General features: G+C 40.6%; 1 long non-coding RNA gene across 12 annotated transcripts in view, besides 1 other annotated feature; it reads left to right on the top strand.

Moving 5' to 3' along the window:
- The window catches only part of DIRC3 (disrupted in renal carcinoma 3), a 506,425-nt gene that overhangs the window by 288,713 nt on the left and 205,600 nt on the right, over nt 1-12,112 (top strand). The window lies entirely within an intron of this gene.
- Nucleotides 660-1,211: an enhancer, noted in NCBI's record as "OCT4-NANOG hESC enhancer chr2:218365243-218365794 (GRCh37/hg19 assembly coordinates)". NCBI's record gives its function as "activates a minimal SCP1, AML or CMV promoter by ChIP-STARR-seq in primed H9 embryonic stem cells {active_cell/tissue: H9 hESC(primed)}" and the evidence as "EXISTENCE:reporter gene assay evidence [ECO:0000049][PMID:30033119]".

Raw genomic sequence — 12,112 nt, 5'->3', positions numbered from 1 at the left:
TAATGATTTGTTGAATGAGTAAATGAATTGTTTTAGACCTGTGGAAAGAATATTTTATCAGATTAATCAACAACATTGGAGCTTTTGTACTCAGAAGCAATGAGATGTACAAATGCACAAAGGCATGGAAAAGCAGGAAATGTTTAGGAAATGAAGAATTGTACGTATGGTGTGTGAAGTTCAATGAAGAGCTAGAAAGATGAGCTGCAGTCAGCTTGGGAAGGCTTTGGGTAACTTATTAAAGAGTCTGGAATTTATTCTGTAGGCAGTGAGGAGTCAAGGAAAGGTTTGTGCAGGGGAGCAATATGATTAAATTGATTTCTTAAAAAGATGACAGAAGAAGAAGGAATGTCTTGAACAAAGAAGAAACTAGTAGTAGTGAGGACATTTAGAGGTGCGAAGGATATACAATGAAAGGAGCAGGGGAATTGATACTCCTTATAAATATCTCTGAAGTGTGAGATTTGAAGCCCATTTGGACAATGAGAGAGGAGTGGACTTAAAGATAATGTTGAGGTGTCTAATTTGAGTGAAGGGTTGGATGATAGTGCTATTCACTAAAACAGAGAAAAGTATTCCTGCTGAGTTGAAATTAGCCACTCATGGGGAAAACTTAAGCACACATTGAAAAGGTGTGTCTAGAACTTATTAATCCACATAGAGACAAAAACCTCAAGTTCAATAGTCATAGGTACACAGGTGATAGCTGAAGCCATTGTGGGAGAAGCAATTTCCCAAGAGAATAGAGAATGAGATGACAATGGGGTTGAGAGTAGTATATTAGAAAACACCAGTATTCCTCAAAAATTCTATTGCCATATTGTCATCCTGCATAGGAGCTCTCATTCCAGAGCATCAGAGCCTCAAAGAACATGGCTTCACTAACAGCTGGGAACACTTGTGTAGCAGTCAGAGGCCCATCAAGAAACAATTCACTGAATAGTTTGTGACTTTAATGAAGTCACATTATTCCCAGTGGTGTCAAAAGGGTTAAGGAAAGAAAGAAGTTGAGGCCACCAGAGAATAACAATGGTGGAAAACCTTGCCACTTCTAGACCAAGCAGCAAGGAGAGGAAACAATGTTACTGGAGTCTAGTGAAAATGGAAGCTATGAAGAAGAAATTGCCTAGTGGGACATTTAGAAAAAAATATATGCCTGCTGCCAGAGTGGGCTAAAATGGAAAGGAAGAGGCAGGAGAAGAAATACTCCAACCTCCATTACTCCCCACCACCACCCCCGCCTTTTTTTTTTTTTTAAGACGAAGTCTTGCTCTGTCTCCCAGGCTGGAATGCAGTGGCGCAATCTCGCCTCACTGCAACCTCTGCCTCCCGGGTTCAAGTGATTCTCCTGTCTCAGCCTCCCAAGTAGTTGGGATTACAGGTGCCTGCCATTGCGCTCAGCTAATTTTTGTATTTTTTAGTAGAGATGGGGTTTCACCATGTTGGCCAGGCTGGTTTTGAACTCCTGGCCTCAGGAGATCCACCCACCTCGGCCTCCCAAAGTACTGGGATTACAGGCATGAGCCACCACGTCTGGCGTTGTTTTTTGTTTTTTGTTTTGTTTTTTTTTGTTTTTTTTTTTACAGAAACTCAAACTCGAGATGTAATTTATATAACATAAAATTTCCCATAATACAAAACCCACCATTTTAAAGTATACAATTCGGGGCCTTTTAGTCTACTTACAAAATTGTACAACCAACACCATCATCCAATTCCAGAACATTTTCATCATCCCCAAAAGGAACCCCATACCTTTTAGCAGTCACTGCTAATTGTCCCTTTTCCATAGCCCCATAAACTAATATACTTTCTGTCTCTATGGATTTGCCTATTCTGAACAGTTCATATAAGTGGATCACACAGTGTGTGTGTGGCCTCTTTCTCCTTTTAATTAGCATAATGTTTTCAAGTGTATCCATGCTGTAGTATGTGTCAGTACTTCATTACTTTTAAGGATGAATATTATTCCATTGTGTGGGTATACTACAAATTTGTTTGCCCATCAACTGATAGATATTGGTATTGATTCCATTTATTTCTTGCTTGCACAGAGCCTCAAGGTCAACTAGGGTCTTCTCAGATCTTTCCTGAGCATAGGGACAGCCCTATGCATAGGTGTGGCCTTCTAGACTTCCAAGAATAAGTTAGAGTTTTCCAAGCCCTGCAGACATCTCATTGTCTAGCTTTTCCTTTTAAGCTTTTTGGTTAGTCTATTGTTTTTATCAACTTTTATACATCACTTAAGGCAGTGTCTGTATTAAAACACCTGCAGGTAAATGTCTTTAACGAGTGCTCCCACCCTCAGAGGCATTGAGCACTGGTGCAAGTTTTGAGGCAGGTGAAACTTCCATGTGGTCTGCAAATTTATCAGTTTCCAGAAAACAATCACTAAGTTATCACTTATCCCAGCCCGTTAATCTCCCTGTGCTGCTAGAATCCCGTTGCCTCCTCTCCCCGTCCTGCTGAAGCAGGTGCAATGACAATGTTCGTCATTTAGGCAGTGAGGTTTAACCAGTCATTTTATATTTTGTGACTGGTCTAAGGTTTCTGAGTGAAACTCGATTGCTCTGTATTTGTCACAAAAGAGTAATACAAAGACTCTGGTTCATGAGGGCTAAGAATGATGTCTGTTGGGCATGGATGTCTAGAACTCCCACTGAGTTCCTGGATCATCCGACCTCATTCATTCTACTCCTACTGTCACCGGTAGAGGGTTGTGACTGCAAGTTGTCCAGGTTCTTGGCGTTTTGAACAAAGAATTGGACAACATGCCCAGCAAAGGAAAGAAAGAACGAAGTAAAAAAAGAATGAAAGCAGGGATTTATTGAAAATGAAAGTACACTCCACAGTGTGGGAGCGGACCCAAGCAGCTGTTCAAGGGCCCGGAGACAGAATCTTCTTGGGTCCAAACACCCGCTAGAAGTTTCCCATTGACCACTTTATGCTCACCTTATGTAAATGAAGTGGTAGCCAGCGATCAGTCTGTTTGGTTGCAGAAAGCAGCCAACCAGGGACTGAAATGAAGTTACGAAGGTCACACTCCTGTCCAAACATCTGATTGGTTGCAAAGAGCAGCCAATCAGAGGCTAGGGTGAAGTTACAAAGTTATATACTTCTACACAAATGAAGACTCCACCTGCAATCAGTCTGACTGGTTGTGGACAGCAACCACTCAGAGACTGGAGTGAAGTTACAAAGCTGCAAACAAAGACTCTACCCACACTCAGTATGATTTGCTGCGGACAGCCAGTTTCCCATCTGCCGGGCAGAAAAGGCCAAAGGGAGTAGTAACCTCTGGTCCTTTTGTTACTTAGGCATGGAAAGTTAGGGTTTTCCTTCCTATTTAGTTCTAGGAAGTCGACGTGAAACAGCCTTAGGTTCTCTGCCTCCAGACTCTATTCTCCTGCCTCACTACCATGTACATTGTTGTGAGGAGCTTCATGAAGAAATGAGGCTCCAGGCAGACTTGCAGATGAAGGCAAAGTTACTTGCCTGGGGGAGGTGGTATATTAGTGAGGCAAGCATAAATTGGTGGTGGCAATCACATTTCCTGGGCTCCTAGGCAAAATTATGAAATGTCTTCTCATGCAGAAAGTCTCTTCTCCTCTCCTCTGGCTTCCCACCCTCATTTGGCATCCCACTTCCTGGAGTGTCAACGATTCTTGCCCACTTGAATTTGCTGTCTCAGCATACCATGTTCTAAGCTTTTTTCCCTTTCCTTCTAGCCATTAAAATCTCTCTATCTTATTCCCCTATCATATCAGATAACTAGGCTAGGTGCTAACATATACCAAGATGATAATCACTGAAAGAGATTGCTGTTATTTCTTCTAGGTCACATATTTGACTTTTAATAGTAACTTTCAATCTTTAACTTGAAGGTGTAACCAATGAAAATTCCAGGAAAAACAGCAAGGTTTGTGGGCTAGATACTTTATAGCTATCATTTGTGACCTTTCAACTCTGTAACAGATACTTTAAATTCATAGTCCATTCAATCTTCATGACAACCCTATGAAGAAGGTATTATTTTCCCTGTTTTTATAGATCATAAGCCTTGTTGCTCATGAGAAATAAAAATAAAATCCTAAGTCCTTCAAAAAACTGAATAGACTCCCTCTTGGCCAAGGGGACCCCAGATAAACCTTAAAAACTGAGCTCCTAGCCATGACAAGATGGGAGGTCAGACACATCCCAGTATGCCCCTTCGTTATTAACCTTTAACCAGAATTCTTTCCTAGAGTAAGCAGAAATCAGCTCTAGAAAACAAGAAAGGGATGACTCCTTCCTTTATTACCTTTAGCCAATTATCTGAGGCCGTGACAGGACTCTCTCCCTCTCTTTGCAGTTTTGACATGATAACTCACCAGTTTTACAATGTATTCCTTCCTAATAAGAGACCACCAACCATGGAGTGGTTCTGGCATCAACAGAGGGTGCACAGTGAGGGTTTACATGTTCTGTGCTTTACCTTTTGATATTAGAAAGTCAAAAACTGCACCTTTGGATCATTCTAATGCCATCTTTTTTTTTTTAAAATTTTACTTTAAGTTCTGGGATACATAATGCAGAACATGTAGGTTTATTACATAGGTATACATGTGCCATGGTGGTTTGCTGTATCTATCGACCCATCATCTAGGTTTTAATCTCAGCATGCATTAGGTATTTGTCCTAATGCTCTCCCTCCCCTTGCCCCTCACCCCCCAACAGGCCCCGGTGTGTGATGTTCCCCTCCCTGTGTCCATATGTTCTCATTGTTCAACTCCCACTTATGAGTGAGAATATTCAGTGTTTGGTTTTATGTTCCTGTGTTAGTTTTCTAAGAATGATGGCTTCCAGCTTCATCCATGTCCCTGCAAAAGACATGAAATCATTCTTTTTTATAGCTGCATAGTATTGCATGGTGTACATGTGACACGTTTTCTTTATCAAGTCTATCATTGATGGGCATTTGGGTTAGTTCCAAGTCCTTACTATTTTAAATAGTAATGCCATCATTTTTTGAACATGCCACCCATGAAGAGGCATGGAGCTCAATTGTGCCTGTGCATATTACTCCTTTCATAAATATTCATGATTTCTCCTATAGTTTATTGAATATGTATGCTTAGCCAAGCTGTTCAGCATAAATTCCTGTCTTATGCCTACCCCGACCACCACCAAAGTGCCATTTTCCAGCTTCTGGCTGGAGGCTACACTTCCCAGCCTGTCAGAATGGCTACCTTGCAGGCTACAACCGTTTATGAGAAATAAAGATCTCCTTTCCAAAATTATGACTTCATCATTCTTCAGCTGACACTTATAAGGATGAGGGGATAGAGGCAGGAAAAGGCAGAGCTGTGATTTGAACCTGGGTAGACCTGATTTCAAAGCCTTAAGTACCCTTCCTACCACAGCTCCCTAGCTGGAGGCAATTCAGGATGAACAGCTCATGTTAGTGATAATGTGGTAGGAATTCATGTTTTTAACTTCACTGTATCCCATTTTATTTCTAGTCAGATATGTAATCTCTTCCAAGTCAAGAATTTCTTTCTTTAATTTTTTTTTCTCTTTCTGGATTTCAAATGATCATTTCCCCTCATTTTTGGGCTGAACTGACAAGAGAAACTTCAGGTCTTTCTCTTTAGATGGCCTAAATTGCTCAGAAACGAGAGAGAAACAATAAAAACCACTGTTCTGCTGGAAATTGTACTTTCAAAAGTCTTAAAATGATGGAAGGTTTCATAGCCACATGTCCCAGAGCTGGGTTCTGGATGAAATGAAGGGGCATAAATATCACCATGGTCTCAATGGAAAGGTGGGAAAAGACTTTTATACCCATATTTTCCCCTTCATATGTTGTTGTGGGACTCAGGAAGAAAGACACAATGTGCCTTGAAAGGGAGGCATGTGAGCTCCGGGAATGATGTGTATGAGCACTCAGATCTTAAGGAAACACCACATTGAGAATGTAGTGGGCATGGGTCAGGAAATTCTGAGCTCTGGCTTCTGCTGCAGGAAGAACAGCTAGCTCCTGATTACTTGTGAACAGGTCAGACCACCTGGCTTCTTCTCCTACCACGTATCCAGTTCAGCAAGAAAACAGCGGCAGGTGGCCTAGAAATAAATTGTTTTCTGCCTCTTTGTCCCACATGTTGGTGAAACAGGCCCAAGCAGAGAGGGATTAAATGTTTGAATTTAATTCTATGGTTCTTAGAAATAAAAAGCCAAATTTGGATAATAATTGCTTGCATATTAGTTATGACTTTTCTTTCATCTTCCTCTGACTGATGTAGGTGATTAAGTTGGCCAAACACAATCTCAATTTCCACATTAGGTTTGAAGTAGTCTAAAGACACACATCTGGGTGGGTATAGAGATTATGTGAACTTCAGTCATATTCTGCAAATGTTCCCATAATCCATGTTGTCAGTGTATAGGTTATAATGATCTTTTTGCATTTATAGGACCTTTTATATTTCTTTATTTATTTATTTATTGCAAATTTATTTTCAGCTGAAAATTTTATTCATTTATTTAGAGATGGGGGGGTCTTACTATGTTGCCCAGGCTAGTCTCAAACTCCTAGACTCAAGTGATCTGCCCACCTCAGCCTCCCAAAGTGCTGAGATTACAGGCATGAGCCACCACATTCAGCCCATTTACAGGATCTTATTTCCTTTTTTTTTTTTTTAATATTTTCATCCTAATCCATTATCCTTTATGAGTGAACAGTATCTCCTGTATAATTAGACTGTGCAGAGGGAAGAAGAGTTACTCAAAGGTTCAGGTAAGTGAGTTGCCTAACACCGGTGAGGACATTGAGACCCAGTGAGAGAGACCCGCACAGTGCTCAGCCCGTTTTGGAGTTGAATATCAGTCCATATTGTTTGACTTTCACAAAAACAGTGGTTACTAGACCTCAGGTTATTGGCAAGAAGTAAATACAAGGCGTGACAATGCATCTGAACAAAGTTAGAATTTGTTGGCTGTGGTGAAATCTGAGGGCAAAATCAAGCTCCCATCTTGTTCCCCTGACTAAAGCCACTGAAAATAGTTCCTCATTGTGGTTTCTGAGATCCAAAGAAAAGACAGCTCCAAGTGGTTTATTACACAAGGTTCAGAAGGCTTATGGGCATCCAATGGTTCCCACCAAGTTGGATTTTGATGGGTTAAATGTGGGCAAATCAGAAACATAAGAATTAAATTTCCTTTCCAATACACATGGGTTTTAAGTGAAGGGAAAAAGGTGCTTCGGGCACAATGCATTTATTTGCCAAGCCCCAAACATTCAAAAAATGGTTCAATATGTCCCAGTACATCCAGCCAGCTGCCCAGTCTCCCCTCTTTCTGGAAGTGATTGTCTACATATGCACACTGATAGGTGCACAGAAAGTGATGTTATATCTTCTGCAATTTAAGTTTTTGACCATCTAGTCTCTGATACAGATTATTCTAAATTCTCAGATGATGTAGCGATGGAGGTATAGTGGTCTTTCCCCAAAAATATGACACAAAGCTTCCTCAACCCCTTACCCAATGTCTGGTCAAATACATGTCCTCATGACATGAAGGAGATTTTGTATTTACCAAGAGCCAATGTCTCAAATATTTAGGTCAAAATCATTTACTTTGTTGCCTGTTTACATGTGGTAGCATATTAATGACAAATTTTTGATTTTAGTCGAGACCAACAAATGGTGAAAATGTGGCTCAGTTTCTCTGGAATCTAAATGAATTAGGCTAAAGAGAGGGGAAGAAAGGGGAACAAGAATATAAGTCAGGAGGCTGCTTTGGACATCTGGGGGTAAAGAAATGGAAGAAAGGAGGAATGGGAGAAATGGGCAAAATAGGCTATGAAACTAAAGGAAAGATGGAATCTTAAGGAACCTTTGCAACATGGAATCAACCTAAATGCCCATTAATGATAAACTGGATGAAGAAATTGTGGTACATATATTAATACACCATGGAATACTATGCAGCCATAGAAAAGAACCAGATCATGTCCTTTGCAGGGACATGGATGGAGCTGGAAGCCATTATCCTTAGCAAATTAATGCAGCAACAGAAAACCAAATACCACATGTTCTCACTTATAAGTGAGAACTAAATGATAAGAAGAACACATAGACAGAGGAACAACACATATTGGGATCTATCAAACTCCCATCTTGCTCCCCTGACTAAAGTCACTGATAATAGTTCCTCATTGTGGTTTCTGAGATCTAAAGAAAAGACAGCCCCAAGTAGTTTATTATACAAGGTTCAGAAGGCTTATGGGCATCCAATGGTTCCCACCTTGTCGGATTGAGGGTGAATGGAGGGTGGGAGGAGGGAGAGGATCAGGAAAAATAACTAATGGGTACTAGGTTTTATACTGGGGTGATGAAATAATCTGTACAACAAACCCCTATGACATAAGTTTACCTATGTAATAAACCTGTACATATACCCCCGAACCTAAAATAAAAGTTAAAAACAAAAACAAACAAACAACAACAACAAAAAAAGAAAACTTTTCTGAGTCTACATGTCCTGTGGAAACCAGATGGGAACAAATGGTTCTACCAATCTAATTTGTTTGGGCTAATTTGGGTGAGGAAAAGTAAGGACGGGAATTTATTGTTCCTTTTTCAGGTGGATTGACAGGCTAAGTATGGTGTATCCCAAGCAACAAACTGATTACATCTGAATCTACTGTGGTCATTCTTGCCCACTCCCTGTGGTGTTGGCAGAGTTTAGCTATGAAGAATATGGGACTAAAGGAGGGAGAAGATGCTTTCAAGTTGATGCTGGCAACTGGGCAAATTGAGGTGTCATTGCAGGAGATGGAGAAAGGGGGTGAGATTATGATAGACAAAGAGGATGTCTTGAAGAATACTATCAACTCCACAGATTTATTTTGGAGTTGTATAAATATTGGTACTAGTTTTAAAAATTGTTGTAATTTAAGTCATATAAATAGATGAAGTAGCCTAAATCTATATTTTGCTTTTTAAGAATAGTACAACTCTCTTGCTATAATTAGGGTAGTGTAGATAAAATCTCAGAAAATTACATTTTTATGGCTACCTTTATCTCTATGTTTCTGCCTCCCTTGGAATGTTACTCCCTTCTGTTTCTTGTGATTTCCTTTAACTTCCATCTATTCACTGAAACATGAAGTATGCTTCTTTAAAAAATTTTAATAAAAAAGTATGCTTCTTTTAAAATTTAATGACAAAACATTTATACGAGGCCTGCTTCTCCCTCAGATTTTCATAAAATCTTCTACATATAGAGGGTATTTGAGGATATCTCTTTGCTGTTAATATTAAGGTCTAAGCTTTACTTTGTAGGCCAAAGGCTCAGCCATAGCTTTAAGACGACTACTTAAATAAGACCTGATTAAGTTCCTTAATGAGAAGCTGTTTTCTTCCCATGTCTCTCTCCAAATAGGGGAAAAGGGGGTGGGATTGCCACTGTTCTAGTCACAGAAATTAATGCAGATGGATATGTATTAAACTCAAGTGATGCTGTGGCTAAGGGGTGAGGAAAGAACAAGAACTGAAGAAGTCAGAGGACATTAGTGAAAAGAGAGGATAATTGGAAAAGACGAATGGTGGAGGTTAGGATGGCATAACTTTCAAGAAGGAGGTGAGCACCAGGGCATCAGGTACTGTGACGAATAGCATGAGAGAAATAGAATCCCAGAGGTCTTTGGTAGACATACCAGTGTCCGCACAGCTCATTCCACATGTTGCTTTCCAATGAATAGGTGTCCATCTGGGAGAGGCCAAAGCTGGAGTGTGATAGGTGAGTGTCCGTAAAACTCAGAGGTGAAAAGTGATTGCTACCATCACCTCCATTCTGAATGATAAAATAGGCAATAAATTTGTTAGGCTGGGAAATGATGCCAAACTGAAAGGCTGGAAAAAGGAAAAGGTAACAGGAATAGATGACTCAATTATAAAAATGTTTGGGATTAAAAAAAAATAAGGCAAGGGCTTGGTGGTCCATTGGGATAGAAAATCAAACTAAGTTCCTCAAACATCCCAAATATTCCTCGTCTGATCAAAGTGCAATGACAAAGCATTCATTAAGCCCCAAAAATGTACCAGAAGCTGTATTAGGTGCTGTCAAATATGATAATTTAACTCATGATTGAAACAAGTCTATAAGAAAGGTTTTATGATTTTTCTGTTTGACAGTTGAGGAAGTTGAGCGTCTGAAACTTGTGACTTCCCCAAGATAACACAGGCTATGAATGTCAGAGCTGGAGCTGGAATGTGGAGTGTATGAGTCCAAACCCTGTTTCTCAACCACATGACACTTCTACTCTTTTGTGTAAAGGACATTTCTGTCGTGCTACTAAAGAATAATGAGCTTTTCAGGAAGAGAGAAAATCAGAGGACTGGACATATGAAAATTCCTACAGTGGCTTAGGGCTGCTTATTTTTCTCAAGACCATTATTTCTGAGTTTTATTATTGGTTTTCATACCGTTTAACTGTATAACCATAGACAAATCATGTAGCAATTGAGGTCTCTGTTTTTTGGTCTATAAAATGAAAGGATTGAACTGGCCCTTGAGCCCTTGACACTCTGACATATCTGCAAGGGTCTCTAGAGTTGCTCTGATCTGCCACCTTTGAGTCTGTGGTGTTTTAGAGGGAAGAAACCAGAAGACAAAGGACGGACAGGAGCCCAGACTTGTCCCTGGGACAACTGGGCAGTGAGTGAGTTAGTGAAGCTTTATTCCTCATTTCCTCTTTGACTCTTCAAGTCCCTATTGTGCATCCATACCCAGGGGTCCTTGTCAGTTACCCCTCAGTTCATTCCCCCAAAAGTTTGTCCACATGAGTTTAAAATGTTACCTTTTCCCTGGAGCATTTACTCTTTAACAGTTGACTTTAATGAGTAGAGATTAAAAAATTTTTTTTAAAAAGTGAATGGATTTTTTAAATGCCAGTTCCACTACCGTGTTTAACAATGGAATTGGAACTTCAGAAGAAGATGGAGTCATTGGAAAAAGACCAGATCTTAGTCTGAACTGGAGGCAGATGAGGAAGCCCCGGAGCCTGCTGGGAGCACCTGCTAAAGGGCTACTGGTTGGAATACAGCTTTACCATGCTATCAGCTGTGGCTCATGACTACTCTGCCTTGTGTATTCCTCATCTGCTGGGGCTTCCACACCTAGCAGGTCATTGGAAATGAAAGGGGTAGATGGGGTAGATGGGATAGATGTGCAGTCAGTCCAATTAGCTCCAGATCCTGGTTGTGCTACTTACTATTTGTGTAATCTTTTCGAGTTACTTTGCAACTCTCAGCCTTAGTTTTCTCATCTGTCAAATGGGAGTGAGTCAGATGATTTTATAAAGCACTCAGCATCATGTTTGCCATGTGCAAAGCATATAGGGGAGTGGTTAAAAGCAGAGTCTGGGGCCAGAAAACCTCCTCATTTATTAGTAAGTTGCTTAAACTCCCTGTGCCTCAGTTTCCTCACCTGAAAATATGGCGAGTAAAGACACTAACCCATGAAGTTGTCAAGATTAAATGTGTTAAAATGTGTAAAGTGGTTAGTTAGAACAGTGCCTGCAAATGGTAAATGGTGTAAAAGTGTTTGCTGTCATTGCTATTATGACCATGGAGTTTGCCTCTGCTACCCATCTTGGGGTAGGAAAACAGTCAGTTAGTTTTTTTTTAAATCATGATTAGCTTACAGTCAACCTGTTAAAGGAACAGTCCATTTTGTTTGTTCAATTTGTATCACACGAAGATAAACAATGGGTCTCCCCATCTTCACATGCTAGGGAAAGGAGAGGAGAAAGGCTTGGAACTCTTTCCCCGTATGAGATTGCAAGTGAGTCACAGTCTCTAACAGTCCACCACCCTCTCCTCCTTGTACACGAGCCACAGAGCAGGAGTCCCAGCGGTTCCCACCACCCTCTGAGGTTGCTCTTTGCCTCGTCACAGCTCCCAAGTTGATTTAAATTACAGCTCTGCAGCAGGCACGCAGCTTTGAGGGCATCCCTAAGTTGTCCGCTGAGTGGTGGTGGGAGGTCTGAGCTGGGGGAATACGGATACAATCTGCAAGTCAGCCGCTCTGAGGCATCAACAACTCTCAGAGAGGCCTGCGGTCTGAG

Source organism: Homo sapiens, chromosome 2 (assembly GCF_000001405.40).
Source record: "Homo sapiens chromosome 2, GRCh38.p14 Primary Assembly".
NCBI lineage: Eukaryota > Metazoa > Chordata > Mammalia > Primates > Hominidae > Homo > Homo sapiens.
Note: the sequence above shows the minus strand (reverse complement) of the source record. Positions and strands in the feature narration are given on the sequence as shown.